At 41.6% G+C, this 26,108-nt stretch overlaps 2 protein-coding genes and 1 long non-coding RNA gene across 14 annotated transcripts in view, besides 9 other annotated features; 1 reads left to right on the top strand and 2 right to left on the bottom strand.

The window, feature by feature from the left end:
* SERPINB8 (serpin family B member 8) overlaps window positions 1-5,075 on the bottom strand; it is a 49,699-nt gene extending 44,624 nt beyond the window's left edge. For 7 of the 10 annotated variants that reach the window (NR_145571.2, NM_001348367.2, NM_002640.4 and 4 more), the window contains exon 1: window positions 4,986-5,075. The gene's annotated coding sequence lies outside the window, so the exon portion shown is untranslated. Of the gene's footprint in view, window positions 1-4,907 lie in introns of all 10 variants that reach the window. The other 3 variants (NM_198833.2, NM_001348369.2, NM_001366198.1) reach the window with 2 other exon arrangements.
* Window positions 4,374-4,593: a silencer, noted in NCBI's record as "silent region_9534". NCBI's record gives its function as "represses an Ori minimal core promoter by ATAC-STARR-seq in GM12878 lymphoblastoid cells {active_cell/tissue: GM12878}" and the evidence as "EXISTENCE:reporter gene assay evidence [ECO:0000049][PMID:35858748]".
* Window positions 4,374-4,723: a biological region, named in NCBI's record as "Sharpr-MPRA regulatory region 9998".
* Window positions 4,407-4,701: an enhancer, noted in NCBI's record as "tiled region #9998; HepG2 Activating DNase matched - State 4:PromP, and K562 Activating non-DNase unmatched - State 3:PromF". NCBI's record gives its function as "activates a minimal TATA promoter and a strong SV40 promoter by Sharpr-MPRA in HepG2 and K562 cells {active_cell/tissue: HepG2 | K562}" and the evidence as "EXISTENCE:reporter gene assay evidence [ECO:0000049][PMID:27701403]".
* On the top strand, window positions 4,652-8,791 carry LOC105372165 (uncharacterized). Its single transcript, XR_935576.3, has 3 exons — window positions 4,652-5,833; window positions 6,883-7,169; window positions 8,288-8,791. It is a non-coding gene; the product is annotated as an uncharacterized LOC105372165 (long non-coding RNA).
* Window positions 4,664-4,723: a silencer, noted in NCBI's record as "silent region_9533". NCBI's record gives its function as "represses an Ori minimal core promoter by ATAC-STARR-seq in GM12878 lymphoblastoid cells {active_cell/tissue: GM12878}" and the evidence as "EXISTENCE:reporter gene assay evidence [ECO:0000049][PMID:35858748]".
* Window positions 4,734-4,933: a silencer, noted in NCBI's record as "silent region_9532". NCBI's record gives its function as "represses an Ori minimal core promoter by ATAC-STARR-seq in GM12878 lymphoblastoid cells {active_cell/tissue: GM12878}" and the evidence as "EXISTENCE:reporter gene assay evidence [ECO:0000049][PMID:35858748]".
* Window positions 4,994-5,163: an enhancer, noted in NCBI's record as "active region_13472". NCBI's record gives its function as "activates an Ori minimal core promoter by ATAC-STARR-seq in GM12878 lymphoblastoid cells {active_cell/tissue: GM12878}" and the evidence as "EXISTENCE:reporter gene assay evidence [ECO:0000049][PMID:35858748]".
* Window positions 5,194-5,243: an enhancer, noted in NCBI's record as "active region_13471". NCBI's record gives its function as "activates an Ori minimal core promoter by ATAC-STARR-seq in GM12878 lymphoblastoid cells {active_cell/tissue: GM12878}" and the evidence as "EXISTENCE:reporter gene assay evidence [ECO:0000049][PMID:35858748]".
* On the bottom strand, window positions 5,508-25,855 carry HMSD (histocompatibility minor serpin domain containing). Of its 3 annotated transcripts, none has more exons than XM_017025710.2 (5): window positions 25,756-25,855; window positions 21,629-21,802; window positions 20,599-20,748; window positions 14,881-14,998; window positions 5,508-6,818 (listed from the first exon to the last, which is right to left on the bottom strand). In XM_017025710.2, exons 2-5 carry the CDS (start codon window positions 21,698-21,700, stop codon window positions 6,505-6,507), a joined length of 654 nt encoding a protein of 217 aa, XP_016881199.1. In that variant the 5' UTR covers window positions 21,701-21,802; window positions 25,756-25,855; the 3' UTR covers window positions 5,508-6,504. The 3 variants fall into 3 exon arrangements, with proteins under 3 accessions (XP_016881199.1, XP_011524232.1, NP_001116838.1); XM_011525930.3 differs by lacking the exon at window positions 5,508-6,818 and adding an exon at window positions 13,321-13,520; NM_001123366.2 differs by lacking the exon at window positions 5,508-6,818 and having other exon boundaries at window positions 13,321-14,998.
* Window positions 23,566-23,655: an enhancer, noted in NCBI's record as "active region_13470". NCBI's record gives its function as "activates an Ori minimal core promoter by ATAC-STARR-seq in GM12878 lymphoblastoid cells {active_cell/tissue: GM12878}" and the evidence as "EXISTENCE:reporter gene assay evidence [ECO:0000049][PMID:35858748]".
* Window positions 25,788-26,017: a silencer, noted in NCBI's record as "silent region_9531". NCBI's record gives its function as "represses an Ori minimal core promoter by ATAC-STARR-seq in GM12878 lymphoblastoid cells {active_cell/tissue: GM12878}" and the evidence as "EXISTENCE:reporter gene assay evidence [ECO:0000049][PMID:35858748]".

Raw genomic sequence — 26,108 nt, 5'->3', positions numbered from 1 at the left:
TGAACTTAGGTTGGGGTGTGTGTGTGTGTGTGTGTGTGTGTGTAGGTGTGTTTAATCATCCTGTCTGAACTATTGAATCAATAGTTTCAATAGTTCTGAATGAACTGAACTATTGCATCAATCTCATCTTTACATTTTAACTGCTCTTAGTTGCAAACTGCTACTTCTGATTTCTTCCATCTTTCCTCTTCCTTCATCTCATGTCCCCACTTCCATTCCTTTTCAACACTCAGGTGCTGGTCAGTATGTGGTATTTCCCATCAATATCTACCCTGCAGCCACAATACATGTGCACACACTCACACACAAGTGCACCCCCTTGGCCTCTGCTCAGGTCAGAAGTCAGGCAGGGGAGAAAACCAGGTAACAGAATGACTCTTCCCCCTGTCTTCCTGGTGTTCCAATCTCATTTGGACTTTATAGCTTTTGAAAGGGTTGGAACTTTAAACAAAATGGACTTTACCCAATATTTCTAAAAAGCAATTAATTTTAATACAAAATAATACTTTAGGTGCCAATGCCACAATTAGATTGTGTTATAAAAACACAGGAATCAGAAGTTTTTATTTCCAGCCAACCAAATAAATTGGCATTAAACTAGTTTTTCCTTTTCAGGCAAACAAACAAAGACAGAGGCAATTAAATACTGTCCACAGGACTCACAGAAAAAGTGAGAGTCAGCCTCAAAAGCAAGCCTTACGTTTCCAAGTATATGATATTGTCCTCCTCCTGGGAGCCCCAAATACCTACGAACTACCTCCTCCACTCCCCCATCCCCATACAACATCCAAAAGTGAGTTTATTCAAAGAGCATTTATGTAGAATGTTCACTACCTGTTTTGGGAGGAGAAAATGAAAAATAAATGCGTTAATCACTGCCCAGAAGCTTACACCCTAAAGAAGACACACATATGGAAATGCGTAGTTTCAAGCCAGTCAGGTGCTCTATAACAGGATAATTTTGAAAGTGCTATGGAAATCCTCAGAAAAAAACAAGTAAATAAATAAATAATAAGAAGAAAACCTCTACAGAATCCTGGAAAGACTTTCCAGAGAAGCTGGCTTTAAAAGCTGGGCAGGCCAAGGTAATTTATAGATTCAATGCCATCCCCATCAAGCTACCAATGACTTTCTTCACAGAATTGGAAAAAACTACTTTAAAGTTCATATGGAACCAAAAAAGAGCCCACATTGCCAAGACAATCCTAAGCAAAAAGAACAAAGCTGGAGGCATCACATTACCTGACTTCAAACTACACTACAAGGCTTCAGTAACCAAAACAGCATGGTACTGGTACCAAAACAGAGATATAGACCAATGGAGCAGAACAGAGGCCTCAGAAATAATACCACACATCTACAACCATCTGATCTTTGACAAACCGGACAAAAACAAGAAATGGAGAACGGATTCCCTATTTAATAAATGGTGCTGGGAAAACTGGCATATGTAGAAAGCTGAAACTGGATCCCTTCCTTACACCTTATACAAAAATTAATTCAAGATGGATTGAAGACTTAAATGTTAGACCTAAAACCATAAAAACCCTAGAAGAAAACCTAGGCAATACCATTCAGGACATAGCCATGGGCAAGGACTTCATGACTAAAACACCAAAAGCAATGGCAACAAAAGCCAAAGTAGACAAATGGGATCTAATTAAACTAAAGAGCTTCTGCACAGCAAAAGAAACTACCATCAGAGTAAACAGGCAACCTACAGAATGGGAGAAAATTTTTGCAATCTACCCATCTGACAAAGGGCTAATATCCAGAATCTACAAAGAACTCAAACAAATTTACAAGAAAAAAACAAACAACCCCATCAAAAAGTGGGCAATGGATATGAACAGACACTTCTCAAAGGAAGACATTTATGCAGGCAACAGACACGTGAAAAAACGTTCATCATCACTGGTCATCAGAGAAATGCAAATCAAAACCACAATGAGATACCATCTCACACCAGTTAGAATGGTGATCATTAAAAAGTCAGGAAACAACAGGTGCTGGAGAGGATGTGGAGAAAAAGGAACACTTTTAAACTCTTGGTAGGACTGTAAACTAGTTCAACCATTATGGAAGACAGTGTGGCGATTCCTCAAGGATCTAGAACTAGAAATACCATTTGACCCAGCCACCCCATTACTGGGTATACACCCAAAGGATTATAAATCATGCTACTACAAAGACACATGCACATGTATGTTTATTGCGGCACTATTCACAATAGCAAAGACTTGGAACCAACCCAAATGTCCATCAATGATAGACTGGATTAAGAAAATGTGGCATATATACACCATGGAATACTATGCAGCCATAAAAAAACGATGAGTTCATGTCCTTTGTAGGGACATGGATGAAGCTGGAAACCATCATTCTCAGCAAACTACCACAAAGACAGAAACCCAAACACCACATGTTCTCACTCATAGGTGGGAACTGAACAATGAAAACACTTGGACATAGGGTGGGGAAAATCACACACCGGGGCCTGTGGGGTGGGCGGGGGGGATGTGAGAGGAATAGCATTAGGAGAAATACCTAATGTAAATGACTAGTTGATGGGTGCGGCAAACCAACATGGCTCATGTATACCTATGTATCAAACTTGCATATTGTGCACTTTTACCCTAGAGCTTAAAGTATAATAATAAAAAAGAAACAACCCAAATGTCCATCAAAAACAGAATGGATAAATGGATTGTAGTATATTAGTATAATGGAATACAGAACAATAAAAACTGAAAGAACCATATCTATAAGTTCTTTAGTTTTTGACATGGACAATTCCCACAAATAATGTATTAAAGGATTAAGCCACAGAGTAATACAGTATTATTCCATATACGTAAAGTTCAAAACCAGGCTAAACTAAATCATTCTGGATGCATGTGTAGACAGTAAAACTATGTCGTTATTATCATGAAACTCAGGAAGGTGGTGATACAGAGGGGAGGGAAGCGGATGTGATGAGGGAGGAGGGTGTGATCAGTAGGGAAACACGGCCTCCAGCGATGACAATATTCCAGTTATTAAACTGGGTGATGGGTTGTACTGCTGTTCTTTATAATTCAATACACATTTTAAATGTTCTTTTGTATTTATTCAATAGGTAATGAAACTTATTAAAACCACATATCAAAAAAAAAAAGAAAAAAGAAAAGCCGGGCAGGCATTCCGTAGGTGGTGAAATGGGGGATGCAAATAATAGGCTGAGGAATTAGCAGGTGCCAAGAATGTGGCAGGAAGACAAAGGGCATGGTTTGTGTGGTGCCCCTGGGGTGGGTTTCTATGGTTTCCTGTGAGCCACGTGGTAGTGAGATAGGACGGACCCTTATGCCACATTTAGGAGTTTGAACTTGAGATTATGGTCTGGAAAGCCATGCATGGTTTTTAAACAAACGTCTCATATGAGTGCATTGGGGCTTTAGAAAGATAACCCGGCTCAGTATTTGGTATGAAAAGAGGCTGGGGAGCTGGCGCGTAGGCCACCACCATGGGCCAGGGACTGCTGAAAGCAGAGGGATTGTCTGCAATAGAGAAGTGGGGGCTGGAATTGCCAGGCAGTGACTGCTCACATAGGGACAGAGCACAGGAGGGCCCAGTCCCGAGGCGCCTAGCTGTTATAAATTCATACTCAGGGTGGGTCGTGAACCACTGGAATTTTAAATGAGGAGTCAGGCTGGAATGGGGAATATGACTTGTTCCATTTGAGATGCGTGGAACACACCATACCAGGTGAACCTGTAACAAAGACAGCCAAGGATGTTTGTAAACAGTTAGGGACGGGGATGAGTAGACTGTCTAGAGCCAGAGACCTGGAGCCATCAGCATCCCGATTCCGAGAGGTTCCATGAGAATGGATGAAACTACACAGAACATCTAGTGGAGGCACAAGGGAAGAAATCCACCTATTTCTGTGGAATTTCCAATATCTGGAGGTAGTAAAAGGAAGAGACAGAGGAGGGCGAGGGGAGAGCGCGCGCGCGAAACGGAGACTGAGACCCAGCCATCAGGGTGTGCTGGGAGAACTGGGGAGACGAGTCTGCCCCTGCGAGTGGACCCAGGGAAGAGGGCGCGGTCTACGCAGAGCCCGAGGCAGGGAAGCGGGAGGGGCCCGGAGAGCAGCCCTGGGTGAGGCCCTTTGGAATGGAGAGGTCTCAGGAGTGAAGCAGCAGCCAGAGGACTGAGAGTGTCTGGAAAGTGAGGAATTGGTTAAAGTAACGCCGGTGGCTGCAACAGAGAGGGGCGTAGGTGAAGAAGCACCCCCAACCCCATCCCATTTGAGAGGAAGCAGACAATGAAGAAGAGAATATGAAAGATACAGAAAGATGAAGGCAGGGGTGGAAAGAACGGAGGGGGGGGACAGGAAGGGAAGGAGAAGGTGCAACCAATAGGCTGTAAGCACAGGGGCAAGCTTGGGCGCCAGGGGAGCAGGGACTCGGCGCCTCCCCGATCTGCCCCAGGCGCCACGGAAATTCCAGGCCCCGCCACCCGCACTCCCGGAGCCTCCTCCGCAGCGGCGGCTCCTCCCACTCGCCCTCCCGGGGCTCCCGCCCAAGCTTCCGGCGCTTCCAAACTCACTGCTCGCGTCACCCCCCGCTCCCATCCGGCAGCAAATCACAGCGCAGCAAATCGCAAGCCTAGAAACAGACGCTCCCTCTCCAGGGGCAGCTTCCTATTCAGGGCGGGTCTGGGCGCACCTGTTCTCGGGACCCGGCCCTCGGCCTTCGCCGGGTCTCGCGGTGGGGCTTGGGACCCCGGCTGGTGCCAGGGCGACCCCCACAGCCCCGCGACTCTCTTTCCCGGCCGCCTCCCGCCGTCATTCTCCTAGTTCCTGCCCGCCTTTGCCTCGCTCTGATTCCTGCTCTGGCCTTCCTCCCTTCCCCTCTCTCACGCACTCCAGGGAAGAGGTGGCCTCCGCGGGAACCTGGGCACCTCCGTGCCTGCCCCGCCCGGTACCTGGCAGAGGCCCCCACCTCCTGCTGCTGCTGCTGCTGCCGCCGCCGCCGCCGCCGCTGCTGCTTTGACTATTCCTCCTTTGTAGATGCTTCACGTCCGCCTTGATTGAGGGCAAGGCTTCCGGCAGATGACTCAGAACCGTTCGATTGCTCTGGCTTGTGCAATCCCTGATTCTTTGGGCCTGTGTGGATGTCTGTGGGCACCGGAGAGAGGGCCAGTGCCTGGTCCTTGGAGGGTGGTTTTTATAAAAAGTGTACACATTGGCTATTGTCCTTTTTTCACCGTTGATTCACGTTTGACTCCACTGTAGTTAGACGTCCACCCAAACATTCTCTGAAATTGCTCCTGATAAGGATACTAATCATTTTCTAATTGCCTTGGCCAAAAAATACATCCCAGGTCTTATTTCATTTTGTTTGTTGGCGACATTTAGCCCTTTCTTCTTTGACCTTCCCAGGATTTCCAGAGCACCCTTCCCTTCTTTCCTGACTCCTTTGCTTGGTATCCTGATTCCTTTCCTACCATTCTAAGCCCTCTTCTTTTCATTATAATATGATCTTCTTGTATGACCTCCACTATATCCATAGGTTCATGTTTCAACTTTTAACTTATTTCTTCAAAATCTCTAACCTGTCTCGAGCCGTAGATGTTACCTGTGTACTACTGGACATCTCTCAGAAACCTGGGTGTGTCCCTCCGCAGTTCTTTTAACTAAATGATCAACAGTCCTGTTACTTCTATCACTTTTGTGTTCCTCCTGTCCATACTCTGTCACCTCTATCATGTCTCATGTCTCTCCTAAACAATTAATTTTCCTACCTACAGTTCTGATCCATGCCAACCTATTGCCTACTCTGAAGTTCAGGTAAACATTCCAATTCTAATTATTTTATACCTCAGTTTAAAATCCTTTATAACATCCTCTTATCCAAAAAGATAAATTAGAAACTATTGAGCAAGGAGTGTAAGCCTCTTCACGTCTTGATTTCTCCCTTCTTTTCTTTAGAGCCATAGCAAATTATTTACATTCCTTCATATCCTCTGTTCATATACATGGGGTTCCTGGCATGCAAGCTTGTCTTTCAAAATTCAGTTCAAATAATGTCTCCTGCAGGAAGCTCTCACAGAGCTCTCCAGTTTGGGAATTCTGCTTTTAAAGATGCACATTCCCACTCTGCACCCCAAACCAATTAAGTAAAGATCTCTTGGAGGAGGGAACCCAGCAGCAGTATTTTGTAAAACTCGCTCAGTGATTTCCCTGTGGAATCCTAAAAGTAACTGTTCCCAAGAACTCTCCTCAATAAGTCTTGGTGCAGGATTCACCCCCATCTTTTCTCCATGACTTTGAAACCCCTCTCTCTAGTGGCTACAGACTCACATTTGAACTGTGCCCAAACTTACCGGCTCTGCCAGTTGAAAATGCCAAGGTCACTTCCCCATTGTGCATCAATTTCTCCTTGTTGGTCAGAACTAGATCCAGACTTTGGGCCCCACTTTGTCCATCCACTCCTTTTCCTCTTTGACCAGCAAAACAGATTAAAAGATGAAAAATGCTTGTTTTCCTCCGTGAAACTTCCAGCAAATGCCTGGTGGTTTGAAGTCCTTTACAAAGGATATAATTTGGCCCCTGGGAGTTTGGTTGTAAACACAGATATCCCATGTAGGAAACACAGTGCGTGCAGGTGCAAAGAGGCACAAGATAGCACCATGAAAACCATGACGTATCCAGGCCTGCAGTGGTACAGATAGTGTGGATGAGGCACTGCAAGACAACGTCTGATGTGTCCACAGGGCCATGTCGTGAAGGCCATGTGGACGCTGTTGGTGGTGTTTCTTCGTTCCCTTGTGGACTATGGGGAAACACAAAAGGATTTTAAGCTGGGGAGAAACATAATCATATTTGTATTTACGAAGGTCCCTCTGGCTGCAACATGGAGTATATTGTAGGAGGGTACCATTGCCTGCAGTGAGGCGTTAAGGACGCAGCATGGATGAGAGATGAGGAAAGCTGAAATGAAACAGAGGCAGGAGAAATGGAGAGGAGGACATGGCCTTGAGGAATTTCCAGGACATAAATTTGGCATCACTTCTTGGACCATGAGAGGAAGAGGGAGCAGGAAGAATCAAAGATGAATCCAAGAATGAACAAATCTAATTTTTGAAATAATGCAATGAAAAGTAGAACTGGTCTGTTTTCCTAGGTAAGGAATTTGTCTGCAAGTCGATATTCACGAGGATTAATTGTATTTATTTTCTGAGTATGGACAATTTAAATGCTGGGCCCTGAAGGGAAACCCATCTCTCAGAATAACTAAAGCCCAATTTCAGAGTGAGCCTGAACAGGCTCCCCACTCCACCCTGGCCCACTGGGGACACAACAGGTAACTGATAAGGTTCCAGAGTATATAATTCAGTGCCTCAGAAACTGTCCTCAGCCTCATCTTCTGTCTTCTTGCCTCATACCTAACTTCACATCTCTTCAGTCAGTACTAGGGAGTATCTGCTGGTTCTCAACTCCCGACTCAACCTTGACCTAGTTTTGTCTGACTCCCTCGGCTCCTGACTTTGTGGACCTCAGGAAGGGCACACTCCTAGGCTAGTCTCAGGTTGAGCTACCACCGTCTCCAAATTAGACTTCCACTTGTCAAGAAGGAAGTAGAGTCCAGGCATAATTGGAGCTTCCTGGGGTGATTCGAGGTCTCTGTACTCCTTGCTGTAAAATGCACAAATACTCCACCTTAAAGAATCTCACGGGGCAGGGCACAGTGGCTCATGCCTGTAATCCCAGCACTTTTGGAGGCCGAGGCGGGCGGATCACCTGAGGTCAGGAGTTCCAGACCAGCCTGGCCAACGTGGTGAAACCCCGTCTCTGCTAAAAATACAAAAATGAGCCAGGCGTGGTGGCAGGTGCCTGTAACCCCAGCTACTAGGGGGCACTGAAGCAGGAGAACTGCTTGAACCTCGGGAGGTTGCAGTGAGTTGAGATTGTGCCACTGCACTCCAGCCTGGGCAACAGAGCGAGACTGTCTCAAACAAACAAACAAAAAACAAAGAGTCTCACCGGAGTTCCAAAATATCCTTCAGTGACTGACCATATACTCTAGCAAAAGTTACTTCATATATGCCCGGCCACAGCTCTCAATCTCCCATGAGATTCCCAGCAATCTTCCCTGGTTTTGAGAAAGTGTAAAAAAACACAAAAAGCAAAAACAAAACACACTTGCTTCAGCTAATTAATGCTAGAGAAACAAACATAGCATCATAAAATGTAAGCATTTGAAAGAACCATATTGTTGACGCTGTTCCTTATATTTTGCAGGAGAGGATGGTGAAATAGAGGTAGTTTGTGTGATTTGCCCAGAGTCCCATGAAGAATTCACAGAAGAATTGAGACTACAGTCAGTATGGCCACATTCCCAGAGAACTGCTTTTTCTGCCATACCCTGTGGTAATAATATTGTCACAAGACAATTGGACAGTGTTTCACATATTCAGTGATGGAAGAAGAGTTTAATTGAAATAAATAAATGTCAGGAAAAATTAATTCGATTGTGATAACACTTAAGGAATGGAGTGTTCACTCTCTAGGAGAAGTTGGGCTAAATGATGAAATGGAGTGTCCGTGTATGTGATCTGTGGTGCTGTTTTGCTGTAGTTAATTCCTATTTTTAACTTGAAATGTGTTCTGACTGCGTTAGTGCCAATTTTTTTGAGACCGGTGTACCTATCCTATCAGGTACATTCGATTTACACAAGTACATTCTCTTTTCAGTTCTCCCACCACTTCTCTTTATTCAAACAATTAAAACCTTCTTGAATATTATTTGGTTAGTCCTTTGAGTTAATGAATCAATTTTACAGGATCTGCTTCTGTCATTTTTCATTAACATTCCCCAGACAAATTTGTACTGCTTACTAACAGCACAATCCTAAATTCAAAAGATTACTGAGTTATAAAGTGGATGTCTGGACAATCCAAAACATAATGGCTGTGGTTTGGGTGTGGATTTTTGTCTCCACGAAAACCCACACTGCGATTCAGTCCCTGCTGTGCCAGTGTTCCACTTAGGGAGAGGTGTCTGCGTCATGTGGGTGGATCCCTTGTGAAAGCCTTGGTCCTGTTCTCCTGGTAGTCAGTGAGGTACAATTAGCTCTCATGGAATGGATTAATTCCTCCAAGAGTGGGTTGTTATAAAGTAAGGTTTCTCCCCATGTTTGGTCCCTCTTCGCATGTGCCTGCATCCCCTTTGACCTTTCCCTCATTGAACCTGCAGGTTCAATGAAGGTTCACTGCAACCTCCGCCTCCTGAGGTTCAATGTCTTTTGACATAGCACAAAAGCCCTCTCCAGAAGCCTGGGGATGCCAGTGCCATACCTCTTGTATATTCTGCAGAATATGAGCCAAATAAGCCTTCTTTCTTTATAAACTACCCAGCCTCAGGTATTCCTATATAGCAACACAAAACAGACTAAGACAATGCTTATATGAAAATGTCTAGATTGTTACCAAGACAAATGTAAGCAATGAAACATACATGTTGTAGAGCCTCTGCTGATCAAGGGTATGGAGAACCCAGTGGACCTTAATGTGAAAAGCATTACATTAATATGCCTGGTATTGTATTTCAAGGAACTTATAAAAGAAAAAAAGGCTCCTGATATGGCATTGCCTGGAAACTGCCATTAGTCCCTCATTAGTGAATCGTCAGTCTCTCCATTAATTTGAAGGGGGTTAAGGGGAAGTATTAAGTGACAAAGAATTTGGAGGGAATTAGAAAGATCTCTTTGGTTTCTAAACGTATCTTTTCGTGCTTTGATTGAATGTGTTGCAGATAGGAAAGTTGAATAGGAGATCCCTGATAGCCTCTCAGATTTTAGCTTATCAATAGAGTTACCATTGATTGTTGAAACAGTGTGAGTTCCTGCCACTTGTTCTAGTGTCCTGTCTGGTTCAGCATTAATCTCAGAATTTTCAGTTTTTAATGGAGTAGTTTTTCTAATAGCTGCACACCCTCAAGCCAGAATGTGTTTGCTAGATCCACACTGTGGACTTCAGTCTCCTGCCACACTCTTTCATAATAGTGGGAGAGATGCTTATTCAGTTACATCAGGCAGTGTTCACTTTGCAAACAAACTACATCAGAGATTTGAAGAGAAGAGAATTAATACAAAGAATTATTAAGTAATAGATTTTTTAAAAATACTGTAATGGCAGCAGATGTAGAAGGTACAAAAGAGAAATTGTCACTTCATGTCTTGGGGTAAGTGGAAAAAAAAAGAACTAAGGACTTAGGAAAAGACATAGGTCATAGACTGTATTATGTCCTCACAAAATTTTTATGTAAAAGCCCTAACCCCTAAGATGATAGTTTCTGGAGATAGGGCCTTTGGGAGTTGATTGGGGTAAAATAAAGTCAGGAGGGTTGGGCCCTCTTGAAGAAATTAGTGGCATTAAAAGAAGAAGAGATAAATTGCTCTCCCTGCCATGTGAACATAGCTAAAAGGTGGCCTTCTGCAAACCAGGAATAGAGCCCTCTTCAGAAACCAAATCTCCTGGCAGCCTGATCTTGGACTTCCCAGCCTCTAAAACTCTGAGAAATGTCAGTTGCTTAAACTGCCCAGTCTATGGTATTTTATTTTTATTTTTTGAATCAGTGTCTCACTCTGTTGCCCAAGCTGAAGTGCAGTGGCATGATCTTGGTTCACTGCAGCCTCTGCCTCCTGGGTTCAAGCGATTCTCCTGGCTCAGCCTCCTGAGTAGCTGGGACTATAGGCAGGTGCCACCATGCCCAGTTAATTTTTTTGTTTTTGTTTTCAGTTTTGTATTTTCAGTAGAGATGGGGTTTCACCATGTTGGCCAGGATGGTCTCTAACTCCTGACCTCCGGTGATCTGCCCACCTTGGCTTCCCAAAGTGCTGGGATTATAGGCATGAGCCACCACACCCAGCCTATGGTATTTTATTATACCCACCTGAGCAAACTAACATGACTGAATGTCCCAAGGCTGATATTCAGAGCTCTTTGAAGGTGTGGCTGCCACAGGAACATGCAGTCTGCAGTGGCTATGAAACTTGTCAGATGGCCAAAGCTGGCTTACGAGAAGCCATATGTCCTTGCTGGAGGGTGTGGGCAGGCTGGGGCTGGACCATAGAAGCAAATGCCTGGTAGGGATATAGTTGCCAGAGGTTGCATCTTGACCAAATGCAGAAATGGCCATTGTGTGGAGAAAGCATTCCCTGAGAATGTGGCTACAGATGACCAAGTGAGCTGCTGGGTGCCTACACTGAATAATCCTAAGAAGATCAGAATCCAGAAAGTGCATTTCTACTTCTATCTTCTTACAGTGTCTCTCCAGCTCCCTCTATTGGCAAAGCTGAACACTGGGCCAGTCAGTCAAGTTCTTGTTACAGGATCCAGGTTTACTATCACAAAGTCCACAAAGGTAGATTTAGAGCTGATAGACAATAAATTGATATCTGGCACAGCAATGAATGGAGTTCTCAGGCAAGCCTGTCATTAAATCTGGATGATAACTACTGAATCTGTCTCTTTTCCTGATCCTCTCCAGAATCCTTCATCTCAAGGACAATATCTAAGGAATTCACTGGTAAAACATTTTATGCTTGGTCACAAGCAGCTAGAGAAAGCAAACTACTTCCGGCCTGGTGCGGTGGCTCATGTCTGTAATCTCAGCACTTTGGGAGGCCGAGGTGGTGGATCACGAGGACAGGAGTTCAAGACCAGCCTGGCCAACATGGTGAAACCCCGTCTCTACTAAAAATACAAAAATTGGTCGGGAGGCTGGGGCAGGAGACATGCTTGAACCCAGGAGGTGGAGGTTGCAATGAGCTGAGATTGCACCACTGCACTCCAGCCTGGGTGACAGAGCGATACTCTGTCTTGGAAGGAAGGAAGCAAGGAAAGAAGGAAGGAAGGAAGCAAGGAAGGAAGGAAGGAAGCAAGGAAGGAAGGAAGGAAGGAAGCAAGGAAGGAAGCAATGAAGGAAGGAAGGGAGAGAGAGAGAAAGAAAGAAGAGAGAGAGAAGAAAGAAAGGAAAGAAAGAAAGAAAGAAAGAAAGAAAGAAAGAAAGAAAGAAAGAAAGAAAGAAAGAAAGAGAAAGAAAAGAAAGAAAGAAAGAAAACTACATCTGAAGTCAACACTAGTATTGGTGGGAGAGGAATTTTATGCTGCATTCCCCAACAGCCACTAGATACGCCAATCAGGTGTGCATGGTCCATGCTATGATCTGTGAGTATCAGATCAACGTCAGCTTGTTCAGCAAGCCCTCAGGACTGGAAACCTCCCTCAAGTCCTCTGCCCCCTCCATCTCCTTCAACACAGAAGCTTCAGCTCAGGAAAGGAAAGGCCACCTTTCACATGCAGAAGCGCATCAGCTTCTGGAGGGGTACTTCATGAAGGTACTGCCTCCATCTTCTCAGTCTCCAAACCATCCCTTGCTTTGGACCTCTCCTTTTCAACTGTGGCCCTGCAGCCCTCTTTGAGAAGAGGGATGCAAGAGCCTTAGAGTTCCCACTTATTGAAGCATAGGAGGAGTGAAGGCTCTCAGGACCTCCATTCAGGACTCCTGGAGGGGGTAGCAATGCTTGCAGAGTTCATAGCGCCCAGATGCACCTGACCTTAGCTCCATATCCCAGGATGCTCATCCCTGGATCCAGGATGATGTGCTTTTGGTGCCAGAAGTTTCTGAGTTCCACTTTTCAGATGGGATAACACAGCCAAAGAAATCAGACTTCATCTTAAAGGGAGACAGGTTTCTGGTCCCTACTCTTCCTGCACTGTGCTGACAGCTGCCCTTCTGGTAGGAGCTGATATAGGTAAGTTTCACAATAACAAGAGGAAGAGATTACTCATGGCTTTTCTGGATGTACCAGGCTTGTTTGAGTAATTTTCCAGTGTTTGGCATTACCAGACATTGGATCCACATTCTACCTCGTTGCTAGCTACAAGAACTTGTTCAAGCTACTTAACTTCTGAGTCTCAGATTCCTCATGGGTTTATTATCACTAAGGATTAAATAATCTATGCAAAATGTCCAATGCAAAGAAGGTATTCAGTAAACATATCTGAGGAGGTCAGATCAACTTTTTTTCCTAGAATTCAATTCTAAATGGAACTCACTTTGTGGATACTTACAAGAAACACTACATAGTGTAAGGGAAATGTCTTAGTGCAATTTCACAAAACACATGGAATTATTATTTGGGAGGCTGGACCTTTCACGGAATTGTAGCTGTTTTGATTGTCTCATATTCACCTTGTTGGTGAAGGAGGGATCTCCCCCATTAAATAGTAGGAGATAACTAGACACATGGCATGACACACTGGACAGATGAAATTGGCGGCAGTTTATTAGTCACAACTGCTCACAGGGAGGGAGGTCACCACATGCCATGCGGGGTCACAGGAGAGTTGCATTTGGGAATAGAGTGAACCAGTAGGGGCTGTGGAAGGCAGGCTTTGCAGTAACAAGAGGAAGAGGCGATTCCTGGCTCCTCCAGATGTGACAGGCTTGTTTGAATAATTTTCCAGGCTGGAGGGAAGTGAGCCACGTTGAGACCCAGGGAGGGTACAGCTGACTGCCTGGTAAGGGAACTTAGAAGGGGGAAGAGCCTTCCTGCTCAGTGGGTGAATAGGGTGCACATATCTGACAAGAGCAGGGGACTTCATGGCCAGGCCTCTGAGGCCCTGAGAAGCCCATAGATGTCAAGGCAGCACATGAGCTTTCAGGCTTTACAAGACAGAAATAAAATAGTGAATGATAACTCTTCAAAGAGAATATGACAAACAAAATTTCACAAGACCCTCTAGGAACAATATGCATATTGTTATCTCTATGTTTTATGATTTACATGGCTAAAGTCTGATTATATTATATTTCTATAACAGATAAAACCATTATCATTCATTTTCATAATTCATATTGAAATGATTTGATTATCCTCATTCCAGGAAAGAAAAAAAAAAAACACCCTCCTGCTTGGATACTTAGAGGTTACTCCATTTACACTCCCCACTCCCACCTCTTACTCCACTTGACTGGACTATCCACAAGGCAGTGCAAAGAGGTGTGTGTTTCCCTGAAGAAGAGGGTGCCACCCTGTTGCTCCTGGCTGTAACACTCAGAGGCTCTCTCTGCAGTGGAAGAATCATATGGGCTGATTATTCCCCACCTTTCAGACTTCTTTCCAAGTCCAAGTGTTGGGCAGAGGAGGAAGAGGAATGAGAGTAGCAAACCCGGCAACCTCTGATACTCCCTCTTTCCTCTCTCAGCCCACATATAATGTGGATGTCTCCTTGTAATCTTCAGTCTCATTCTCTCCCTGAAGCTAAGTAGCTGGCTTTGGTACAAAGGGAAAAGTTGGCCAGTTATGGAAAGAAAATATGGGTTGTGTCAGTGAAGTTCTGAGGGCTCAGGGTCTTTCTGGCTGCAAGGGGGTTGATGGAATGTCTTTTTAGCTGTGCCCTAGAAAACAATATAACTCTCCCTGTTCAATCTAAATCATCAGTGTGTTCCCTTATCACTGATCACAGCAGTTGCATTTCAAGCCTGTAAACCATACAGTATGGCAATACCAGTGAGGGAGACAGCTAGAAATTTTTAAATTCAAATTTTAACGCTATTTGTGAAAAGAAAAACTACCTAATATTAACAAGCAAAAAAACCTGGAAGAGATTATTTCATCTAGAGAGACATCACAGATACTTGATAAGGGAAAAGCTAAAGCTAGAGAAAAGGTCTACGAGTTGGCAATATTTCCAAAGAAAGGTTTTAATGTTTGCATAGTTGTTTAGAGAAAAAAGGACTCCTTTTTATATTTGACAGTTTTGTAAAGAACTGACTATAAAACTGTTTAAAATATTATCGAAATAGAATAACAATATATTTTCACCTTTAGTTTTATCAGCAACCCAGGAGTTTACACGTGTTGTGGACTTCTCTGTATCATTCACAAAGTCTAGCTGTTTTATCGTTGCTTGGTAGAATTTGCCACAGGAATCTGTAAAACCCTAGGAAAAACCAAAAACATAATTTCACAGCTACAGAAACAACTAATATCACTGGCTTACTTCTTCATTGTGCCACATCAGAAAATCAATAATTTTATGATTTACCATATATAATTTGCAAATAAAGATGAGGAATTAACCTAAAGTCCAAATTCTTTTCAGCTATTCCTAATCTTAGCTTATAAACTAAGCAACGCGGTGGGCTGCATATCAAGTGATTTTCATCAACTGCTGGATCCTTCATGAGAGTGGCAGTACACCCATCAATGAGATAATTTAAAACACTGAGAAATCTCCAAGAAGACATAGAAATCCTTAATAGGTAAGTACCTAATAGTGGACCATCAAGACACATAAGGCAACAACTAATAGAACTGAAAGGAGAAATAGATGAATCCACTATTATAACTGGAGACTTCAATATCCCTCTATCAGGAATGAACAGATCCAGCAAGCAGAAAATTAGTAAAGAACATAGTTGAACTCAAAAACAACATCAAGTAACTAGATATAATTGATATCTATTGACTACTTCATCCAACAAGAGTAGAATCTATATTCTTCTCAAGCTTACATGAAACATTTACCAAAAGAGACCACATTCTGGGCCACAAAGCACAACTTAGCATATTTAAAATAATAGAAATCATGCAACGTCTGCTCTCAGACAATAACGAATTAAACTAGAAATCAATAAGAGAAAGATGGCTGAAAATTCCAAAAGTACTCGGAGATTCAATAACACACGAATCACAGAAGAAATCTCAAGTGATATTAAAAACAGTTTGAACTAAATGAAAGTGAAAACACACTGACAACACTAAATGCTGGTGAAAACGTGGAGCAACAGGAACTCTCATTCATTGCTGGTGGGAATACAATATTGTATAGTCACTTTGGAAGACAGTGTGGAAGTTTTTTATAAAACTAAAAATATGATCCAGCAATCATGACCCTTACCATTTACCCAAAGGAGCTGATAAAACCTGCACACAAATATTCATAACAGCTTTATTCCTAACCGGCCAAGGTAGAAACAAGAAAGCTGTCCCCCATGACTGTACTAGGGGATGTTAATCACAGGAGGGACTATGCATGTACCTTTTGCTCAATTTTTCTGTGAACCTAAAATTGCTTTAGAAAATAAATTCTTTTTTTTTCTTTTTTACAAATGGTGACTATAGAAGCTGTCACTCCTGTAAATTATTAAATTTGTTGAGTGAGGATTAACACAGCAAGTGCTATATTTGCCTCTACATTTTAGAACAACAGACTATAAATATGAGTCTGTTGTTCCATAAATTACATGGGAAACATATACAATCCTAGACCAGCAGTGTCCATCGGAACTTTCTGGGATGATGAAAATGTTGTAAATCTGCAATGTCCAGAGCGGTGCCACATAGGCTATTGAGCACTTGAAATATATTAATAGCTAGTTGGACTGAGGAACTGAATAATTAATTTCATGGAAACCTTATACTCATGTACATAATGCATAGCATTATGGGTGTTTCAAACTATGATCAACTTTCCAAAAAAGTTCAAACTATATTTAGTTAATATATTCTGTAGAATTATAATGATCTTAACAGAAACCTACACTATGCCACATAAAAGCAGAACATTTGGTGGAAATTAAATGAGCTGAAACAACTAATTTATGAACCATGCATTATAGAATTGTTTCCCAATCTTTCTCTCAAACTGCTCACAGCTAAATATTTAATTTCCCTTTCCATAATTTTGCTTTTACTTTGGAATTTTATACTTCTGTATCAGTATGGCATGGAGAGGAAATGTGACTGTAGTTAGGAACACAAGTTCTGCAACTTACTAGTTGTGTGACCTTCAAATATTTGCTTCCTCTGTTTATGCCTCCATGTTCTCTCCTGTAGAACAAGGAAGCAGTAATAGCTACACCTCACAAGATAACTGTGAAGTCCTGATGAAATATCACCTTTTCATGTAACGTTTTTGAATTCTCAGTACCACGTAACTGATCGATGTACACTATTTCACTTAATCCTCCCATAATTCATGCTTTTCCAAAATTGCTGCCTCTGCCTATTTTTCAGTGGTTTGGAAATTATTTAAATCTCTCAGTGTAAGAAAATAATCTGAAGGCAAACTGATGAATCACATATTGATGACTTCTTGCACGCCTAGGTGATCTTTCCATCTGTTAAACGTGTTTTTAAATAACTGTCTGCTATTTTAAGTTACTATTTGACAAAGTGTGGCAAATCAAACAAAAAGAACATGTAATTATATATTGCTATTGGTATGGGATTCTTGAAAATAAGAATAAATAATAAATTAATCTGAAATGGTTTACAAATATTTCTCATCTTTTTAATTTATATTCCAATATCAAAATAACATTTTAAATATCAATGCTTTTCTTTCAAAATATCCACCACGAATTGATATTTGGTTGTTAACATTTTGGTTGTCTTTATATAGAAAACTAGTAAGCTAGTAAAAAGATGGCAATAAACTAAATAGTGCTAAGACTAGTAAAATAAGTGAAGTTGTAAAATCACAATATCATATACAAATCTTATAAATATTTCACTTTTATGTCTTACCACCTTCACTTTATACCAATCTGTTTGCAAACAATTAATTTAGAGTCGAAAGCAAGTTTGAAAAAATACATATCACAGTAAGAGAGATATCCTCTACAAAAATAATTCTTATAAGTCAATAAGAAAAAGACATACAACCCCATAGAAAAATGTGTAAGAGGATATGTAAATAGGCAATTCACAGAAGAGATAGAAATTCTCAATACACATAAAAGTGTTTAATCCCATTTATAATCAAAAGTTTTTATTTTTTTTTTTTGTTGCTTCTCTTGTTTTGTATTAACCCTTCCCTATCGCATATGTTGTAAATATTCCATCTCAGATTCTTTTTTAAAAACTTTATTTTAGGTTCACGGATACCTAAGCAAGTTTGTTATATAGGCAAATTTCATGTTTCAGGGGTTTAGTATACAGATTATTTCATCAACCATGTAATAAGCCTAGTACCCGATAGGTAGTTGTTCAATCCTCACCCTCCCCACACCCTTCTCCCTCAAGTAAGCCCCCATATCTGTTATTCCTTTCCTTGTGACCATATGTACTGGATGTTTACCTCCAACTTATAAGTGAGAACATGTGGTATTTGGTTTCCTACTCCCGTATTAGTTTGCTTATGATTAATAGCCTCCAGTTCCATCTCTGTGGCTGCAAAGGACATGATCTCATTCTGTTTTATGGCTGCATCGTATTTCGTGGTGTATATGTACCACATTTTTTTAATCCAGTCTACTATTGATGGGCATTTAGGTTGATTCCATGTTTTTGCCATTGTGAATAGTGCTGCAATGAACATATGTGTCTTTATGGTAGAATGATTTCTATTCCTTCAGGTATGTACTCAATAATGGGATTGCTGGGTCAAATGGCAATTCTCTTTTAATTTTCTTGAGAAATCACCAAAGTCCTTTCCACAGTGGCTGAACTAATTTACATTCCCACCAGCCGCATGGAAGTGTTCTCTTTTCTGTGCAGCTTCACCAGCATCTGTTTTTTGACATTTTAATAACAGCCATTCTGAATGGTGTGAGATGGTATCTCATCATGGTTTTGATTTGAATTTCTCTAATGATTAGTGATGTTGGCAATGTTTTCCTAGGCTTGTTGGCCACGCATATGTCATCTTTTGAAAAGTGTCTGTCCATGTCCTTTGGCCACTTTTTAATGGAGTTGTGTTGTTTGGTTTTTGCTTGTAAATTTAAGTTTGTTTTTTTTTTAATAGATTCTGGATATTAGACCTCTATCAGAGGCATAGTTTGCAAATATTTTCTCCATTTCTATAGGTTGTCTGTTTACACTGTTGATAGTTTCTTTTGCCCTGCAGAACTTTTCAGTTTACTTATGTCCCATATCTCAATTTTTGTTTCCGTTGCAATTGCTTTTGGCATCTTTGTCATAAAATATTTGCCAAATCCTGTGTCCAGAATGTTATTTCCTAGGAGGGCGTAGAGCAATCTTACTTCTCCCAGGAACCACAACTGTGGCCTCTACTGGGGCTGTGGCTTTGGTGCTGGTCTGCTACAGGGCCCAAGGCTTGTAGAGGTCCCCCTGGACTCCAGAATTACCCCTGGAAAACGTCCAGGTGGCACTCTGCCCCAGTCTAAAAGCACAGTGGGGAAATGCGGTGGGGACAGGAGGATTCTCCCATTCCCAATCTTGCATAGGTCCCTGTGGACAGTGTGAATCCCACTAGGAACTCTCATTCACTCATCCTTCCCCATTTTGTAGGGGTCCTCCTGACCGCACTGATCCCAGACAGGCTGGTGCCCAGATTCATTCCTGTCTGCTCTGTGTGTTCCCCTGCTGCCTAGATGGATCTCGACATGGTTTCTCAGATGATCGGCTTTCAGGGTCAGTGTTCACTACCCCTTTTGTTTCCTCTCGGTGACGCCAGCATCAGGAGCTCCTTTTAGTCGGCCATCTTGGCCCCACCCTTCCAAAAGTTTTAAAGGTTAACATTATGCAGTTCTGCTGATGGTGGGTGGAACTGAGGATCCTATAAATACCCCCTGCAGAATGTAAATGGCTACAAAACTGTGGAGAGCAATTTGGCAATATTTATGAAAACCTCAAAGCTTCATTCCCTTCCTCCCTTCTACAAATCCATTTTAGATAGTAACTCATACACATATGCACAAAACTGTGTAAAGAAATACTCCTGTCTGTAATGGGCCAGAGTAAATAAGCTTAAATACTCGTCAATGCAAGAAAGGTCTATTATACCATGGTACAGCCATACTTAGGAATACCAGACAAGGGTTAAAAAGAGTAATACAGATCCACATATACTGAGATGGAAGGAATTTAGGACATATTTTTAAGGAAAAGCTAACAAAGTATAAAACAATATGCATAGTACAATAACATTACATAGGAGAAAAACTCATGAAGCAAAGTTTTTATATGTGAAGGAGGAAACATCAAATCTATGAAAGCTCTAACGTTAAAAAGGGGAGTTGTGGCATAAGAAAGAAGCTGATGACATCTCTTGGTTTATATGTGTTGTTTGTGTTTTTAAATAACAAGAAATTACTTCGGTACTTTTCTTTTCAAAAACTAGAAAAGTCATGAAAGCATTGTCAGCGAATGCAACCAGTGTAATTAGCCAAAATTAGTTTTAAAAGATTTTCATTGCTGAAACATCTAGTCAAACTATTTAATGCATACATTATAGTGTCATCATGCATAGAAAATTAAAAATATCTGCAAAGCAATTACGAGAAACAGTCATTTTCACCACATCTTTGTTTTGGCTGATTCATTTTCAACTGTGTTACGCTCTGTGTCAGTTCTTTTATGAAGATTATCTCATTAAAGCTTCACAAAATTCTGAACGGTATTTGCTATATAGCCTGTGCTACAGATGATCAAACTGAATCACAAGATGCGTGTGAGATTCGTGCGTGGAGTTCTGAGTTCAGGACCACCTGCAGGAATTCATAGCCCATATTCATTCTCCTACTTCCCACCACATTGCTATCTTTATTTTCCTAATAAACAAGTATGACTTACTGTGAGGAAATCATAAGACTTTTCTCCAAAGAGCCCGTTGGCAGTTCTAAGCACATATTCAGTGTCAGTTCTGTTAATTGCAACAAGAAGTGACTGAAAACCTCGATGAATATCTCCATCTTCACCTCCGATTTTACTAAAACAAAGTGCCTGAAAATAAAATAATAATAAACATACACATTCTCAGTATTCTGTGACTTCAAAATATAGGCACAACAGTAAACTCAGCAATATGAGATTTACAGATGCTTACTACAGCTTAAAAGATGATCAATCTAATAAAAGATAGAGAGTGTCTCAAAAGCAACCCTGTCTGCCTACCTATGCCTCTTCTCAGGCCTCCCTATAAGCACATCCTAAAAGAAACGAATGTTATCTAAGTATTGGTATAAGTGGATATGCCTTTTGCAAACCCTAACAAAATGACTCGGATTTCTTGTGCTATTTATGATACTTGGTCTAAAAACGCAGCTGCCAACCATGTGTCCTGTCTCTGCATACACATGGTGCTCCTGACACTAAAAGATGGAGTCTCTCTCCCCTTCTTCAGAATCTGGGCTGGCCATGTGACTTGCTCTAAACAGCAGAATGCAGAACTGGCTCTGTTCCAGGCTTAGCCCTTAAAAAGTCTGGCAGCTTCCACTTTCCCTCTCTTGTAACCCAGCTACCGTGGTCGAGAAGCCCAAGCTATCCTGAGGAAAGACCACATAAAAGGAGGAATGGAAAGACTTGCTTTTAGGGAACTGAGGGCCCATCCACTAGCCAGAACCAAGGCCCAGACATGGGAGTGGTATCTTCTTGGACCTTCTAGCCCAGTTGCCTGCAGAAGCACCCACATGAGTGACCCCAGGTCACCAAGAAGGTCAGGCCTTGAAAACATGCTCCATCCTGCCAATTCTCCATCCACATCCTGTGAGACTACCAGAGTTGTCTGTTAAAGGAGGAATTTCTTCAAGACTTGAAATGCAGAAGTCCAGCTCAACTGATAAATTGATAGCACTTATTGTTGTCTTGAAGTGGCTTTACGTACCTGAGACATCTGAGCTGCAGTGTTTCCCTTTGCCCCCATGAAAACCATGGCCAAGGCTGATGATATGCTCATGGGGAAAAAAATAAGTTGTTTGAGTTGTTTTCCCCTAGCTTTTTCAAAAGGTTTAATGCAAATGTGCCATTTGCTTCTGATAGAGCATCCATGACGGTGAGCCTGAAACAATGGATTTTTAAACAATATTACATTAATATAGGCTTACATGTGTATTTACTTTTCACTCTATTTATTACTAGTTAAATGGATACTTGTTTTCATTGAACAAATAGGTACACACACAAAAACTACACTAGGGCTTTTCTTACAAGATGTCATTTAATCCATACAAGCTGATGAGATAGGTGCTGTGAGTGAATGTCTGCACTTTACAAGCAAAGAAATTGAGCCTTCACTGTTTAAGTCTGTTGTGCCTGAGATCACTCAACTACAAACAGAAAAGTAGGCATTAGAAACCAGGTCTTTGTGGTTCCAGGGCTCCTCTTAATCACCATGGTATAAGGACTTATAACAAAAGCAGCAGCAGAAAGCAAGAAAGTTACTTGCTTAAAACATGAAATTTGTAAGAAGAAAAACTATTGATTTCCAATACTGGTAAAATAGGTATTCCCTCCTATATTCCATATGTGATTATGTAAATTGGGACACCAATATTTTCAGAATGTAACTTAGAATTATGTTTTTATAAATGGAGGAAGGAACACAGGGATGGTGGAAGGGTAGGAAAAAGAAAATGCCATGAAAATATTTATACCTTTAGGATGAAAAATTCCATTTCAAAGAATTTCACTAAAGATAAAGCTCACAAGTACTGATAAAAACAGTATGCAGAAAGATGACTACTGAAGCACTTTATATGCTACAGAGAAAATATTTAAATACCCAGCAACAGAGAACCAGTTAGATTCTGTCAAATCCATGATTGAATATAAATGGAGATATTAAAAATTACAGTCATGCCATGAGAAAATACAATATTAAGTATAAATTAAGAATAAAGTTACATGTAAGTATAATTCATAGATAAAAAGACTACAGGGAAACACTGAACATCACATATTTCTGGATAATGAGTAATTCTAATTTTATTTATATCCTTTGCTATTTTCCCTACAATGTGCCTATATTTGTTTCAGTGTCATTTGGTCATTGTGCTTTTATGAAATTAATGGACTTGCATGTAGTTGAAAAGTGAGATAACACTAGGCGAGATCTTTTTTTTTTATTATTATACTTTAAGTTTTAGGGTACATGTGCACATTGTGCAGGTTAGTTATGTATACATGTGCCATGCTGGTGCACTGCACCCACTAACTCGTCATCTAGCATTAGGTATATCTCCCAATGCTATCCCTCCCCCCTCCCCCCACCCCACCACAGTCCCCAGAGTGTGATATTCCCCTTCCTGTGTCCATGTGATCTCATTGTTCAATTCCCACCTATGAGTGAGAATATGCGGTGTTTGGTTTTTTGTTCTTGCGATAGTTTACTGAGAATGATGATTTCCAATTTCATCCATGTCCCTACAAAGGACATGAACTCATCATTTTTTATGGCTGCATAGTATTCCATGGTGTTACACAAATCAACCAGTGTCTTCCCACTACTCCCAACTCCCCAGAAACAATCAAACCTCAGTGCACCCTTTCTCTTGGTATTTACTTTCATATTTAGAAATAATTGTGTATATGACTATTTTTAACCCCACAATTTTTGACATTATAAATTGCCTTCCTAATTTAGGGCTGATGATTAATTTTCTTTTATCACTTACCGTACTTCACTTCCTCTCTCCAAGTGTTTGCCTTATTGCAACTAAATAGTATTCGCTGCTAAGCCAATTAATCAATAATGGATGCATTGCTTTTTTTACACGTCTGTTTTTCCTTATGTCACTATTGCCTTCCCCTCTTTTCTTGTTTTCACTTTTTAAAAATCTATGGCAAATTCCCCTCCCACCAAATATTCTACAGATCACTCAAGCTCTTTCAGTAATTTCTTCGTATGCTCAACCACATATGAGTAATCTATCACTCCCATTTCTCATCTCCCACAGTTTCCCCCCTGCTGGTGAGTGCAGGTTTATTTAGTCTGTAAGATTTTCATTCCCGAAGCAGAATTTTCATAAACAGAGACCAATTTTTTCTATTATTATACCTTATTTAGTCAATGATCAATTAATTTCTTGTTAATTTGGTAAACAAATTGTTTTCCTTAAACTTTAAAGCACACTGCTAACACAGCAAATACGTTATTTTAAACATTTAAGCATTGATGATAAAGCTTAATGTATCAGATGTTTTAAAGATGTAATCACTTTAAAGAACAAACTTACAAAATTAACAACTATATCATTAATATAAGCATTTGTACAATAATAAACTGAATAAATCAACACTTATAAATCTGTTAAACTAGATTCTCCTAAGACTTTCAAACATGTTTTAAAATACAACTGTACAACAGTGATTATAAAACTTATTTCTAGCACCCCACTAGTAATACTGTGGGTTTTATACACTTTATCTTCACTCTATCTTTTTATATTTCCTAGGGTGATGGTAATGCTTATTTTAATACTTTTCTGGGGTTAAATTAATAACAGACCATCTCCTATTCACAAAAACAATAGGATGGGGCTGCCAGATTGATGGTTGGGACATGGGCTCTGACTGACCTGACACTGCTACTTTTCAGGTCATACTGCTTTTTAAAGCCAAACAAATGTAAGGACCATTTTGCAGTTTGGTCCTACATTGGGATTTTGCAAAGACAACTATTAAATTTGCTTTTTTCTTTTTTTTGCCAAATGCCTTTCCTTGAAATGAAATACTATTTGAGGTTCTCGTGCATCTGATTTGCGTAACACAGAGTTCTATCCACAAGTTGGCTTTCAAAGTCTCCTGGTTTAATATTTAGGCCTTCAGGTTGGTTTTTGTAACCACTGTGCCTGTCAACCTAGGTGCCTATAGTCACTATTCCTACACAGCAGTCGTATATGAATCATCACACAGCATTTCTTGTAAACATTATTGAAATTATTTCCTGCCTCCTTTAAACTCATCTTACATTTTTTTTTTTTTTTTTTTTTTTTTTTGAGAGAGAGTCTCGCTTTGTCCCTCAGGCTGGAGTGCAGTGGTGCAATCTTGGCTCACTGCAACCTCTGCCTCCCAGGTTCAAGCGATTCTTCTGCCTCAGCCTCCTGAGTAGCTGGGACTACAGGCCCATGTCACGACACCCGGCTAATTTTTGTATTTTTAGTAGAGACTGGGTTTCACCATATTGGCCAGGCTGGGTCTCGAACTCCTGACCTCGTGATCCGCCCCCCTCAGCCTCCCAAAGTGCTGGGATTACAAGCGTGAGCCACCGCGCCTGGCCCATTTTACTTGTTTTATCTGAATTTACTAAAGGACTCTTTCTTGGCTTTGTTGTAACATGTATTTCAATTAACACATACTGGTTTTTGTTCTTGAGCAAATTCTCACAACTTGTCTACTGGGAATCTCTGTAAATTGGTTACTTTCTTTTTACACTATCCCAACACTTTTGCTTTCTGGCAACAGTATCGTCCTCATTTTGATTTTTTTCCAGTCCAAAAACATACTATCAACGCCTCTCCTGGTTTCTTTTAAAGGAGGAGGAATGTCAAGTACAAATTCTGAATACTGAGAGCATACGAGTTTCGGTACCGACAAATAAATACTGCTGCTGTTGTTTTTCCTGGAGGTCCCAGGCCTCACAGCCCCTTCCAGCGCCCAACATAAACTTCACCAGGGTGGGAGGCCTCATTGTACCTACTTCCAGCTCCTGCAGGATGAGTGGAGCCCAGGCAGGACTTTCACCCCCCAGCTCCGCGCCCATTCGCCCTGGCCTCCCCTCCCCGCGCCTGGACCCATAGGGCACACAGCCAAGTGCAGCCAAGTCCCTGCCCTTAGGGAGCCCCCGCCAGAGACCGAGTAAAGAAGGACAGCCCCAGGGAAAGGTCTGGAGCAACAGGTGCGCTGAGCACTTCACTGGGCTTCCCTTTCGTAGGTTCCCGCCCTTTTCCTGGGCTCAAGAGCAGGTAACGAGAATCCAGCGTGTGGGAACCACTCCCAAAGTCAAACACCTACCCCAGTTCTCCGCGCAGCTGCCCAGGAGCGAAGTGAGACCGGGTCGGAGAGGCGGGAATAGAGATGTCTGAGCGGCGCCGGGTGTTAGTTCCCAGTGAATGGGGAGGCGGGCGGAGTCGGGCCCAGCCAGGCACCACCTAGCGGGCGCCTGGGCAGGAGGGCGGGGCGGGTCCCGCAGGCCGCGGGGATCTCCTGATGTGCAGGAAGTGGCCAATCTCTGTGCAGGAAAAAGCCCCAACTGTCCGGGAGTTTTCAGTCAAGAAGCGATAATGCGCTTTGGCTATTTGGGGTTTTTCGTGGTTCCATACAAATTATAGGGTTTTTTTTTTTTTCTATTTCTGTGAAGAATGACA

This window comes from Homo sapiens, chromosome 18 (genome assembly GCF_000001405.40).
Source record: "Homo sapiens chromosome 18, GRCh38.p14 Primary Assembly".
NCBI lineage: Eukaryota > Metazoa > Chordata > Mammalia > Primates > Hominidae > Homo > Homo sapiens.
This window is presented reverse-complemented; position numbering and strand designations above follow the sequence as displayed.